Below are 14,386 nucleotides of genomic sequence, written 5' to 3' on the forward strand. Positions count from 1 at the left end.
TACGACAGACAGGAATTACAGATGACCCACTCATATCCCGTTTCTAAACTCAGACGGGGTCTGCTCATATTCTTTCATAGGAAAGAACTGGAGGTGGTGGTCCCTACCCTGTGTGTGCCTGGGGCTCATCTGCAATTAGCTAATGGGGCCATGTACAGGGTGTCAGAGGGGATGTTGGAGGAGCTGATCTAATAGGACACTACTTTTTTACTTTTTTTTTTAATTGAGACAGTCTTACTGTGTTGCCCAGGCTGGAGTGCAGTGGTGCAGTCTCGGCTCACTGCAATCTCCACCTTCCAAGTTCAAGCGATTCTTGCCTCCCAAGTTCAAGCAATTCTCCTGCCTTAGCCTCCGGAGTAGCTGGGATTGCAGGTGCCTGCCACCAAGCCCGGCTAAATTTTGGATTTTTAGTAGAGATGGGGTTTCGCCATGTTGGCAAGGCTGGTCTTGAACTCCTGACCTCAGGTGATCTGCCTGTCTCAGCATCCCAAAATGCTGGGATTACAAGCATGTGCCACTACACCTGGCCAGGACACTACATTTTAATCCAGACTTTCAAGATCTGAGGAAACATTGTTTTAATTCACCCCTTCTAAGCAATCTGAATCTGCACTGAACTGTTTCTTCTCAGCATTATCCTATCCCACTTCTGATCAAAAGACCAAGCAGAAGTCATTTTTCATGGGCAGGGATGTTTTTTTGAAGGGCTAGTCCTGAGCTTTGGAAATGAGCATGCTCACTCACTGACTCGCATTCTCTCACGTGCACACACTCTCTCTCTCTCTCTCAGGCTGGATTGGCCAGACCAATTGGAGGAACTTGCTCTTTTTTTTGTTTTTTTGTTTGTTTGTTTGTTTGTTTGTTTTTGAGCCAATGTTATTCTCTGTCACCCAGGTTGGTCCAAAACTCTTGGCCTCATGTGATCTTCCAGCCTTAGTCTCCCAAAGTGCTGGGATTACAGGTGTGAGCCACTGTAACCCACCAGAACTTGTTCTTTTACATGGGCCATTCAAAGGTCGCCCTGTGTTTGCTAGACTGGTGACCTTGGGCTTTTCCAGTTATTCCTTTGTTTGGAATTTAAGGGCTCTTTTCAGGAACTTTTCTAGACTCATTGGAAGTTTTAATCTTCTGAGTTTGATCAAACCAAATTAAGTCAAATTAAAACCTCAGTTTCACATACAGGATTAGATATTTGTTCGGGGATGTTGGGTTTTTTCATCTCTCTAGCAGCCCAGGTGAAGGAAATATAAACAGGACAAAGGTCCTCTGTGAAGTGCAGGAAAACGCAGTGCAGGAGTTAGCTGGGGTCAAGGGCCAGTTCTCAGCTACCTCCAGAAAGCCTCTGTTGTCCCCAGGAAAGTTATAGAAAGGGGTTTTCCAAAGGCCCGAGGCATAGGACATGCCAAGGGCTACAGGCAGGAGAGCCAAGAGGAGAAGGGAGGACAGTTACAATGCTTTTCAATTCCATAACGCACATTCGCAGTCTGCATTCAGGCAAAGGGGTTGTGGGTAAAAGGCAGTTGGCAGTCAAGTGAACTCTGCTCAGTTACTGAAAATGAAGACATTACCATGTGTCAGCCACCCCTAAACCTTGGGGGAGATGTTGGATGCATAGCAAGTGCAGCTATGGCAAAGAGCCACTGACTACATTCTCACCAGTTTGGGGGCAAGGTGCTGGCATTTACCTGCTTTGACTTTTCATTGTGTAGCATATGTCCAGCTTCTCCTTTCATCTGGAATGAGAAAGCACAGGCGAGCCGGGGAGTTATTTTCATAAACATCTAAGGAAGTAGGGAGTGGAGAAAGTCAAAGTGTATGGCTAGCAGTGATTTTTGAAAAAAAAAAAAATTGGCTTGTTGTTCTTCCTGAAACCAGACAAATTGATTTGAAAACTTAATGGAGAGATAAATGTACAAGAATAGCTAGAAAAATGCCAGAAAAGAAAAAGAGTGGTGGAAGGGAGGGGGCTACTAGGTCTACCAACTACAAAAAATGTATGATAATGCTTTTTTAAGAGACAGGGTCCCACTACGTTGCCCAGGCTGGTCTCAAACTCCTGTCTTCATTTCTCCCTTTTATTAGAGAGCTGTTGCTGTAAGAGAAAAAAATGAACTTACCCAGAACTCAAAGAGTAGTTCTAGCAAGTTGGTTTGGTTTGTTCTTTTTTTTTTGAGACAGAGTCTCGCTCTGTCGCCCAGGCTGGAGTGCAGTGGCACAATCTTGGCTCACTGCAAGCTCTGCCTCCCAGGTTCACGCCATTCTCCTGCTCAGCCTCCTGAGTAGCTGGGACTACAGGCTTCCACCACCACGCCCGGCTAATTTTTTGTATTTTTAGTAGAGACAGGGTTTCACCGTGTTAGCCAGGATGGTCTCGATCTCCTGGCCTTGTGATCCGCCAGCCTCGGCCTCCCAAAGTGCTGGTTTGTTCTTTAGTATTACTTGTTGGTTGGTTTAAAAACATGGACCAAGATTTTTCTGAAACCAATCAACAGTTCTATGGAAAAGAAAAAGGATATGAATATCAGGCATTAACCTCCTTTAAAAATGCAGCCTAACAAGAATTGGCTAGAAGGACAATCATTAGAAATATGTCTGAGGGCCGGGTGCGGGCAGCTCACATCTGTAATCCCTGCACTTTCGGAGGCCAAGGTGGGTGGATCACCTAAGGTCAGGAGTTCAAGACCAGCCTGGCCAACACCGCAAAACCACATCTCTACTGAAAACACAAAAATTAGCCAGGCATGGTGGTGCATGCCTGTTGTCCCAGCTACTCAGGAGGCTGCGGCAGGAGAATTGCTTGAACCCGGGAGGCGGAGGTTGCACTGAGCCAAGATCGCACCATTGCACTCCAGCCTGGGCAACAGAGCAAGACTCCATCTCAAAAAAAAAAAAAAAAAGAAAAGAAATACGTCTGAGGCTGGGTGCAGTTGCCCACACCTGTAGTCCCAACACTTGGGGAGGCCAAGGCAGGAGGATCATTTGAGTCCTGGAGTTTGAGACCAGCCTGGGCAAACATAGAGACACCCTGTCTCTACAAAAAATAAAAAAAAAAATTAGCCAGGTGTGGTAGCACATGCCTGTGGTCCCAGCTACCTGAGAGGCTGAACTGGGAAGATAACTTGAGTTTGGGAGATGGAGGCTGCAATGAGCCATGATCATGCCACTGATCCAGCCTGGACGACAGAGTGTGACCTTGTCTCAAAAAAAGAAAGAAAAAAAAAAGAACAATAGAACAATACTGGCAATAAATATTTTATGTTTTTATATGGTTGAAATTTTGGACCATATGAATGTACTAGTTGTTCAAAAATTTTAAATTTAAATAATAGTAATTGAAACTTAGATGACAAATTCTCCTCCATCACTCTGTCATCCCTGGTAGACAGCACCTGTCATTCCCAACATCTTTCACCTGAGACTAACTAAACTCACAGACCCAACCACAGCACTCAAGGCAGGCACACCAGTCCAGAGAAGCTAGCACATGTTATCCCACTGGCCATCCCTATTAGATAGTGTCATAACCTGGCTGGAGAGGAGCACTACAGATCATCTGGTCCCACCATGTTACAAGGATGAAAGAACCTAGACAAGAAGAGGCAGGTGACCTCCCAGAGTCTATAGATGATAAGTAGCAGAGCCAGGCTTAGGACCCAGGTTCCAGACTGGACTTCGTGCCACTTATTTCCATCTCTATGGATGTTTTATTCTTTTGTATATGATTGTACTTAGTTTTATTATTCTAAATGCATGTTTACCAGCTATGACTTTAGGAAATAACTGCTCCCCTTTGACCCATTTTTTTTATTATTATTTTTATTTTAATAACGAGGAGACGGGGGTCTTGAACTCCTGGCTTCAAGCAATCCTCTTGCCTGGCTTCAAGCAATCCTCTTGCCTCAGCCTTCCAAAGTGTTGAAATTACACCCATGAACCCTTTTTTTTAAATTGATTTTTTTTAGGAGATGGGGTCTCACCATGGTGTCCAAGCTGGACTCAAACTCCTGGGCTCAAGGGATCCTCCTGCCTCAGCCTTCTGAGTAGCTGGGACTACAGGTGTACACCACCATGCCCAGCCTCATTCACATTTCTTTTTTTTTTGAGACAGGGTCTTGCTCTGTTGCCCAGGCTGGAGTGTAGCAGCATGATCATGGCTCACTGCAACCTCTGCCTCCCAGGCTCAAGCCTCCTAGACTCATGCAATTCTCCCACTTCAGTTTTCTGAGTAGCTGGGAATACAGACTACAGGCACATACCACCATACCCAGCTAATTTTTGTATTTTTTGTAGAGACAGTGTCTTACTACATTGCCCAGGCTGATCTCAAACTTGTGAGCTCAAGCGATCCTCCCGCCTCGGCCTCCCAAAGTGCCAGGATTATAGGCATGAGCCACTGTGCCCAGCCCACATTTTTTACAGATTACTTAGGCTGAAGAAAGGAAGAGAGAATGGTGACCTATAAAGTGTCTTTCAGTGTTTGAGGAGTTAGGACACCAGAAGGAGGTGATAAGCAAGCTGCTTATCATTACCACTGTGAGTCCCATTACAGCAGGAGGGGTACAGTTAGCTCAGAGGAAGAGCCTCTCAGGGAGAAATACCGAGGCATCTGATATCCTGCCAGGGAGACACTGTCTGACTTGAGAGCAGGCACCAGGATGTTTGGTGTGGCGTAGGCCTAACCCCTACCCAGAGACGGGAATGGGTTTCAGACACTCTAGAACAGGGCCCTGTCCACACTCCTAGGCCTGCTTTACCCATGCTCCCTTCCCCTGCTCCCTTCCCAAACATTGCTTGACTGACAGCAAGGGAAGCTACTGAGGCTTGTAAGTGTGCAGTTTGTGCCTCAATGCAAGTTCTAGGAAAACCAGAAAAAGAGAAGTTAGTAGAGTGCAGCTGCAGGCATTCCTTCACTCCAGGTTCTGATACTGAGTGGGTGGCTGGGATTCCTCTGTGGACTTGGGGGTTAGAGGGTGCTCTGTAGTCATATTCTGCAGCACCTGAGCTTCCAGAAGGACAGCTGAGCAAGCATTTCAGGATGGTAAGTCTCAGCCTAAACCAATTGTAAACACCCCTGCCCCACAACTAGGACAACAGACATTATTTAATAAATTGGGCTTATGAAGATTCCAAAGAATTATTCTTTAAATAATGATTTTCTCCACCCTCATTGTCCTAAGCAGTTCCTGTGGCTTGATTCTGAGTTTGGCTCACATCTCCAAGGTGGATAAGGGTCCCTTCAGAGAAGCTGCCCTTCACACAGTGCTAGGATTCTGGGATGAGGCAAAGTCATATTCTTTTTTTTTTTTTTTTGAGGCAGTCTCACTCTGTCGCCCAGGCTGGAGTGCAGTGGCACGATCTCAGCTCACTGCAACCTCCGCCTCCCTGGTTCAAGCGATTATCCTGCCTCGGTCTCCCAAGTAGCTGGGATTACAGGGGTCTGCCACCATGCACAGCTAATTTTTTTGTATTTTTAGTAGAGTCGGGGTTTTGCCATGTTGGCCAGACCAGTCTCGAACTCCTGATGTCAGATGATCCACCTGCCTCGGCCTTCCAAAGTGCTGGGATTACAGGCATGAGCCACCGTGCCTGGCTTGTGTCATTTTCAGCCTGGCACTTTGTTTGCTGTCTGGAGTCCCAAAAAGCATGGATCATTAAGCACAAGGGAGGTAGTGGTGTTAGGTACTTTTAGGGCTAAACCTATCAAATGTTTCATTTCCCCCACCCTTGTTGTTTGTTTGTGTGTTTTTTGTTTTGTTTTGTTTTGTTTTTTGAGATGGAGTCTCACTCTGTCACCTAGGCTGGAGCGTAGTGGCACAATCTCAGCTCACGGCAACCTCCACCTCCTGGGTTCAAGCAATTCTCCTGCCTCAGCCTCCCTAGTAGCTGAGATTACAGGCATGCACCACCATGCCCGGCTAATTTTTTTGTATTTTTTTTTTTAGTAGAGATGGGGTTTCACCATATTGGCCAGGCTGGTCTCTAACTCCTGGCCTTGTGATCCACCCGCCTCGACCTCCCAAAGTGCTGGGATTACAGGCGTGAGCCACTGCGCTCAGCCCTTTGTGTGTTTTTTTTTTTTTTTTTTTTTTTTTTTTGAGACAGAGTCTCACTCTGTCACCCAGGCTGGAGTGCAATGGTGCAATCTCGGCTCACTGCAACCTCTGCCTCCCAGGTTCAGGCAATTCTCCTGCCTCAGCCTCCCGAGTAGCTGGGATTACAGGCACGCACCACCATGCCCAGCTAATTTTTGTATTTTTTTTTTTTTAAGTAGAGATGGGGTTTCACCATTTTGGCCAGGATAGTCTCAATCTCCTGACCTCGTGATCTGCCTGCCTCGGCTTCCCAAAGTGCTGCAATTACAGGTGTGAGCCACTGCACCCGGCCCTTTTTTTTTAAAAAAAAATAGAGATATAGGGTCTTGCTATATTGCTGAGGCTGGTCTCTAACTCCTGGGTCTTATTAAGAGATCCTCCTGCCTCAGCCTCCCAAGCACTGGGATTACAGGCATGAACCACCAGGCCCAGCTCAAATATTTAATGACAAGGAACCAACTGTCAAAAGAAACACCTCAACTTGGGAAATACTTGGGAGATCTAAATGTCTGCAAACCATTTGAAAACAGGCAGAGCCTTCACGTTAGTGTGGATTTCCCTCTTCAGTGTTTGTTAGGAAGGATAAAAGGTTCTGTTGACCCTGTTGAGATAACCATCCTGTTTGGGAAGGGAGTAGAGAGGATTTGGGGTTTGTTTGTTTGCTTTTCAAGCTTACAGAGCTCTTTTTGCTATGCCATGCCACAGGGAACTTCACTCACAAGTCCAAGTCTCCTAGCCTTTTCCCTGTCTTATCAACTCCATTATCTTTGCTAAGAGCTTGCAAAGCAAACGAGACATGGCCTTTGATCTTTAGGAGCTCATCCATTCCTTCCAAAAACATTTACGAACTTACTATGTGCAAGGAGCTGTAGAAAGTGCTGAAGATGCAAAAATGAGAAACTCTCAGTCTGGATACATATTCATCATTCTGAAATTTATATCAAAGTACTGGGCTAGAGGTCTATGCCAGAGCTAAGAAACTACTAGACAGGTAGGAGATCTGGTACACCAAGAAATCTCTATAGGAAGACAATGTCCAGGCTTTCTTCATGCTCTTGGATACATGGTCTCCAACTTCAAAACTGAACTTTCTTCCCAGACTGCATTTTAGCTTATCCAAAGAATGCTGTTTTTAGTCAGACCATAGTTAAACAAGATAGATAGAAGAGAAAAAAATATTTAACAGTCTGCCACATGAATACCAAAATAGCCATTGAAGACATTCCTTACTCCATTATTTAGTTAAGAAGAAGCAGTATACTTTTTATGAGGATATAGATGATGATTCCAATAAAGAAATAAGTTTGGCCAGGCACAGTGGCTCATGCCTATAATCCCAGCACTTTGGGAGGCTGAGGCAGGAGGATTGCTTAAGCCCAGGAGTTCAAGACCAGTCTTGGGTCGGGTGCAGTGGCTCATGCCTGTAATCCCAGCACTTTGGGAGGCTGAGGTGGGTGGATCGTTTGAGGTCAGGAGTTCAAGACCAGCCTGGCCAACATGGCAAAACCCTACCTCTACTAAAAATACAAAAATTAGCTGGGCATGGTGGCGGGTGCCTGTAATCCCAGCTACCAGGAGGCTGAGACAGGAAAATTGCTTGAACCCAGGAGGTGGAGTCTGTAGTGAGTCGAGATTGCGCCACTGCACTCCAGCCTAGGCAACAGAGTGAGACTCTGTCTCAAAAAAAAAAAAGACCAGCCTGGAAAACATAGTGAGACCCTGTCCCTACAAAAAATTAAAAAGATTAGGTGGGACGATCACTTGAGCTGGGGAGGTGGAGGTTGCAATGAGCTGTGATTGCACCACTGCACTCCTGCCTGGATGACAGAGCAAGACCCTGCCTCCAAAAAAAAAAAAAAAGAAAAAGAAACAAGTACATATAGAGACTGAGTCAGATAAAGACCAAAACAGAAATAAGTGCACAGAAGTTTTGCCTCTCTGGAAGAAGTGGTATGCTTTCTTATGGTGTGCAAAGAAAATTGGACAATCCATTTTTCCCTCTTTTTAAAGCACCTGTTTATTTTCTCTACAAATCACACCTTCCCCACCAAAATGATTTAGGTTATTGTCTGATGGTTTCTTATCAGTTTTTATTTATTTGAAGCTGTTCTATATATCCTTTTATTGGAAACTACCTCAAACCCTTTTGACATATAGGCTGGGTATAAAGTATAAATAAACAGAATCAGATATTGAAATTAAAAACAAAAACCAAGAGGAACTAGGATGACTGTCAGTACAATAAGATCTTGGCTCTGGAAGAAGACAGCTCTGGTTCACTCTACAGGGCAGAGTGCTGATCATGCCCACTGTGTCCATGTTATGGAAACTGCGTATTGCTGAGACTGAGTGATTAGGGGCTGATAAGTATGTTTGACACTGGACTCCTCTGCTCTACGTACACCTTCTGGCCAAAGGGAAAATGATTGCTTACTTTCTGGTGGTGAGAAGGCTTCTCGGCTGTAAGAGCAGCAGCATTTATCTGTTGACATCTCATTTCATTAGAACAAACAAAGCATTTCCTGACATGTCATTTATTCTTTAGTTACGCCAATATGGCCATATGCAATTTCCAGAGATACTTATCTAGGTACTGAGTCCTCCAATTGTATTGTTCTGCTGAATATGTTATGCCAAAGCAGCTTGCTTTCTGTGCCTCTCTGCCCGCCTGCAGACATGTTTTCAGTTTTACATGAACATGGTCAGTCAGAAAGGTTCTAGGGGAGACCTCAAACATGGTAGGCAGTGGGTCTTCACCCAAAGAAGCTCCTTAACATTGTTTGCTAATGATAGTGTTCAAGTTAGAAATTTTGGCAAATAAAACTAGCAACAACATTTACTAATACACTGAAGTACCATAGTCATTACTTTCTGTGACTTGACTAATTCTTTTTTTCTTCCTTTTGGAGTGTGCCGTCTTAAGAACTGGAAGTTGGACTGGGCATGGTGTCTCATGCCTATCATCCCAGCACTTTGAGAGGCTGAAGCGGGAGGATTGCTTGAGTCAGCCTGGGAAACACAGGCCCTATATCCACAAAGTATTAATATAAAAAAAATTAGCCAGGTGTGGTGGCTCATGCTGCAGCCTGGGCCACAGAGGAAGACTCTCAAAAAACAAAACAAAAAACAAGCAAACAAAAAAAAACAAACTGGAAGTTGTATTAGAGCTCATCTATTCAGATGCCCCCATTTTCCAACTGAAGAAACAGAGGTGCAGAGGTATTTAGTATTTGGCTTCAAGTTGGACACCTATTTTTTTTTTTTTTTTAGATGGAATCTTACTCTGTTGCCAGGCTGGAGTGCAGTGGCGTGATCTCGGCTCACTGCAACCTCTGCCTCCCGGGTTCAAGCGATTCTCCTGCTTCAGCCTCCTGAGTAGCTGGGATTACAGGCATGCGTCACCACACCCAGCTAATTTTTGTATATATATATATATATTTTTTTTTAGTAGAGACGGGGTTTCACCATGTTGGCCAGGATGGTCTCGATCTCCTGACCTCATCATCTGCCTGCCTCGGCCTCCCAAAGTGCTGGGATTACAAGCGTGAGCCACCACGCCCAGCCTGGACACATATTAGTGGCAGAACTTGAATTCAGTGCTCATTATACCAACTGAGACTACAAAAGTATAGAATACATTGATGTTGAAGAGCACAGGGTGAGTGTCAGGGATTGAAAGGGACACAAAAGCATGAGATTGGCCTATATTAGCCATGAATAGTGAACTAGATAGTGTGTGTGTGTGTGTGTGTGTGTGTGTGTTAATACCAAAGGACACGTTTTCTCTAAAATACTAATCATTCTTTCAAGAAACATTTATCAGATGCCAGAGACAATGCTAGACATGGGATAGAAAGATGAATAAGACATGCTTTTTGCCCTATTTTATAACATCGTATAACTTTGATTTTCCAGAGAAAGTAGGAGGATAATAGCATACTTATTTTAGAATGGAATGCATTCAGAGGACAGAAAGAAATGAAGTGTACTAAAAGTAAATATTTTTTAAACATTTATTTTTTTAATTTTTAGAGATGGGGTCTCACTATTTTGCCCAGGCTGGTCTCAAACTCCTGGGCTCAAGTGATGTTCCCACCTCAGCCTCCCAAAGTGTTAGGATTACAGGCATGAGCCACCATGCCTGGCCGAAGGTTCTAATATTTTACAACAATGAATGGATACTTCCTTAAAGTGAATTTGATATTCTATTGTGAGTTTATCCAAATTTTATTTATTTATTTATTTTGAGACAGAGTTTCACTCTGTCCAGGCTGGAGTGCAATGACCCAATCATGATTCACTGCAGCCTCGACTTCCTGGGGTCAGGTGATCCTCCTGCCTCAGCCTCCCTAGTAGCAAATTAGATACTTTTTAGTGTGGTTCTGGTTTTTTGTTTGTTTTTTTTTTAGTGTGAACCAAGGATTTTATTTATTTTTATTTTTTAGAGATAGCATCTTGCTCTGTTGCCGAGACTGAAGTACAATGGCTCAATCATAGCTCACTGCAGCCTCAATCTTCTATGCTCAGGTGATCCTCCCACCTCAGTCCCCTGAGTAACTGGGACTACAGGTCTGTGCCACCATGCCGGCGAATTTTTAAAAAATTTTTGTAAACATGGGGTCTCCCTATGTTGCCCAAGCTGGTCTTGGACTCCTGGGCTTAAGTGATCTTGGTCTCCCAAAGTGCTGGGATTCCAGGCATGAGCCACTCTGCCCTGCCTATGTGGTTTTGTTGAAAGCAGATGATTCTCAGTATGCAGGCTTTTTATTAAAGAATCCCCAATCTAGATAAATGACACAGTGAAGCTATAGCTAATGTTTACAACTTCAAGAATCTGAGTAAAGGACATGGGAATAAGGTGAGGCTGGAAGGAATACAGACGGTTTAATCTTGAATTTTATTTGTCTACAGCCCAACTCTTTCAGATTTTCTTTTTTCTTTCTTTCTTTCTTTTTTTTTTTTTTTTTGAGATGGAGTCTCGCTCATGTTGCGCAGGCTGGAGTGCAATGGCATGACCTTGGCTCACTGCAGCCTCTGCCTCCCGGGTTCAAGCGATTCTCCTGCCTCAGCCTCCTAAGTAGCTGGGATTACAGGCACCCACCCCCACCATGCCTGGCTAATTTTTTTATTTTTAGTAGAGACGGGGTTTCACCATGTTGGCCAGGCTGGTCTTGAACTCCTGACCTCAGGTGATACACCCACCTTGGCCTCCCAAAGTGCTGGAATTACAGGCATGAGCCACTGCGCCTGGCCCAGATTTTCTTTCATATTCTTGTTTCCTGGATATTCTGCATGATTGATGAATGTTCCTTTTTTTTTTGAGACAGAGTCTTGCTCTGTCACCCAGGCTGGAGTGCAGTGGCGCGATCTTGGCTCACTGCAAGCTCCATCTCCCGGGTTCATGCCATTCTCCTGCCTCAGCCTCCCGAGTAGCTGGGACCACAGGTGCCTGCCACCACGCCTGGCTAATTTTTTGTATTTTTAGTAGAGACAGGGTTTCACCATGTTAGCCAGGATGGTCTTGATCTTCTGACCTTGTGATCCGCCCGCCTCGGCCTCCCAATGTGCTGGGATTACAGGCGTGAGCCACCATGCCCGGCCTACTGAATGTTCCTATTTTATAGATATAAATACATCACCTTTATGTGAATGTGTATTGTTTTGTAAACAACTTGTAAAATTGTTGAGACAATTTACTCTTAGAGGGGGGAGAAAAAAGACCTCATGTTCATCTGGTCTACCCCTTCCATTTTATAAGCTAAGGAGGAAGCCCTAGTTAGTAGAAATGACTTGCTCCAAACTCCACATGGTTTCTGGCAAAATCTAGGCTTCTTAACACTTTGCCTAGTGCTGTATGTATTTTGGGAATAGCATAACTTCTATTTCATAAGAAATGACACAGGGAGAGGGCAACTGACCCAAAGATTAGAACTCCCCTTACTTCAGCCTCTGCTCTCAGACTGTATGCTAGGAAAAAGCTGAGCAGTCGACCTCCAGGGCTGAGGAGACTGACCTGTAATGTAATTACACAGTTTAAAGCCTCTGGTGAAGAGGGTTTTGAGGAGCTGCTATGACTCAACATCTGTACTAATCTGAGGCTTATATAGAAGATAGAGTGGCCGATATTCATTTAAGAAGATGAAATGCGGCCAGGAGCGGTGGCTCGCATCTGTAATCCCAGCACTTTGGGAGGCCGAGGTGGGCAGATCACCTGAGGTCAGGAGTTTGAGACCAGCCTGGCCAACATGGCGAAACTCCGTCTCTACTAAAAATATAAAAATTAGCCGGGTGTGGTGGTGCACGCCTGTAATCCCAGCTGCTCTGGAGGCTGAGACAGGAGAATCGCTTGAACCTGGGAGGCGGAGGTTGCAGTGAGCCAAGATCATGCCACTGCACTCCAGCCTGGGCGCCAGAGCAAGAGTCTGTCTCAAAAAAACAAAAAAAAACAAAGATGAAATGCGGCTGGGCACGTTGGCTTATGCCTGTAATCTCATAACTTTGGGAGGCCGAGGTGGGTAGATCACCTGAGGTCAGGAGTTGGAGACCAGCCTGGCCAACATGGTGAAACCCCATCTCTACTAAAAATACGAAAATTAGCTGGGTGTGGTGGCGGGCACCTGTAATCCCAGCTACTTGGGGGGCTGAGGCAGGAGAATCTCTTGAACCCAGGAGGTGGAGGTTGCAGTGAGCTGAAATCGCGCCACTGTACTCCAGCCTGGGTGACAGAACGAGATTCCATCTCAAAAAACAAAAAAAACAAAAACAGAAGATGAAATGCATGAAAGGAAAGGTTAAAAATGATTCCCATGGGCCAGTTTTAGTAATACTCTCTTCACTCCTTTTGCTGCATGGTACTTGCACCCTTTGAGCTTACTGTTCTGCTTGATTGCATGTCCATGAGGCCGAGAATCTGCCTGTCTTGTTTACCACGAGATCCACAGAATCAAGCCCAAGCCTGGCATGTAGAAGATACTCAAGAAAGATTTGCCGAATAAATAAGAGATACACGAATCAAAAGCATTGCTTTTTGCCCTCAAAAAGTGTTCAACATTTGCTATGGAACATTTTAGCACCATTCCCTTGTGCTAATTACTTTCGTAACTAAAGTTAGAAGCTGATGCTCAGTGCATCTGTGTTTTAGCAAATTGAATTGAATCTGTATATCCCACTCAAAGAAATTTAATTGGAATTGCACATGAAACTGAAGCAACCCACAAATCAGCATCTTGTCTTGCTTGCCTTAAGCCCCAGAAGGTCCTGAAAGCCACTGTTCTATTGTTCATCTCCACCTACACACTTTACTGTATGCCCTTTACTCAATAACCTTCGTGGAGTGTTTCCATAGGTACTATCAAGCCACTAACGATTTCACAACTGGAGCCACTGTTGGTAAATCCAAGTATGTTGCATCAAAACAGTTTCAACCTACTTGTCTAGCTCATAGCCCACACATCTATCCAGAGACTTTAAAACTGTTGTATTTTGCCCCATACCTTCCTGGTGATGGCAGAGTAGAGATGAGAAGCAATTAGGCAGCAGTTGCTTCCCAACAGTCTCTTCCAGTTTGTTCTGCCTCTCATTTGAGTTCTGAATTAGGAGTTGCTCCTTTACAAATGGTTTTAAAGTCAAACAATTACTTGTCCATTACAATCACCTGTCAATTGCTAGAAAAATTAGACTACTGAGGAGGTAGATGGTACAAACACAGGCAGAGGATACAGACATTAGTAAGAGACAAGGAGGCGACTGCACTACAGCAATGTCCTAGGACAAATTCTAACCCTGCCATCTAACCCTGTTTAGAGGCAAATCTAACCCTGCCATAAGTAGAGAGGACAGGGTGGTGGCAGAGGTGGGAAGAGTGTTGTTTTGCCCTTACTTTAAGTGAACCTGGACATGTCCTGACCTTTGCAAACACCACCCCTCCCCCGTAGTTCCCACTTACCTCTGCAGTGGGCTGTGTCCAAGCTGCTGAGGTCCTTGCACAGGTCAAATCTAAGTTCTCTTCCCTTTCAGCCCCCGCTTTGGTGGCTGTTGCTGCTGCGGCTCTGCTGCAGGCTAACCTTGTTTTTGCTCGGGTGGGAGGCTGGCCATGGTGATCTCATTACAGAGCTGCGTACTGGCTCGGACCAGGCACGTGATGAAAAAAGTTTGGGTCTGTGTGGGCTGGAAACAAAACACCCTTCTTTCCAGAGGGCATGTCCTTAAAGCGGAAAGGGAATCTAAGCTCAAGCAGGAACTTGAAAAACGTGCATTTGGCCAAACTCTGGGCTTCCCTCCCCCTGCCCCCTTTT

The 14,386-nt window shown here is 44.9% G+C and overlaps 1 protein-coding gene across 2 annotated transcripts in view, besides 1 other annotated feature; it reads right to left on the reverse strand.

The window, feature by feature from the left end:
- Nucleotides 1-14,158, reverse strand: part of FAXDC2 (fatty acid hydroxylase domain containing 2) — a 32,112-nt gene extending 17,954 nt beyond the window's left edge. Inside the window, exons 1-3 of one of the 2 annotated variants that reach the window (XM_006714753.3) lie at nucleotides 14,038-14,158; nucleotides 2,118-2,494; nucleotides 1,686-1,733 (exon numbers count right to left, since the gene is read on the reverse strand). In XM_006714753.3, the coding sequence (XP_006714816.1) occupies nucleotides 1,686-1,733 (48 nt within the window). In that variant the 5' untranslated portion in view covers nucleotides 2,118-2,494; nucleotides 14,038-14,158. The remainder of the gene's footprint in view (nucleotides 1-1,685; nucleotides 1,734-2,117; nucleotides 2,495-14,037) is intronic. The other variant, NM_032385.5, reaches the window with a different exon arrangement.
- Nucleotides 6,484-6,778: a silencer, noted in NCBI's record as "tiled region #2591; HepG2 Repressive DNase matched - State 5:Enh, and K562 Repressive non-DNase unmatched - State 6:EnhF". NCBI's record gives its function as "represses a minimal TATA promoter and a strong SV40 promoter by Sharpr-MPRA in HepG2 and K562 cells {active_cell/tissue: HepG2 | K562}" and the evidence as "EXISTENCE:reporter gene assay evidence [ECO:0000049][PMID:27701403]".
- Nucleotides 14,159-14,386: the final 228 nt, after the last annotated feature.

This window comes from Homo sapiens, chromosome 5, assembly GCF_000001405.40.
Source record: "Homo sapiens chromosome 5, GRCh38.p14 Primary Assembly".
NCBI lineage: Eukaryota > Metazoa > Chordata > Mammalia > Primates > Hominidae > Homo > Homo sapiens.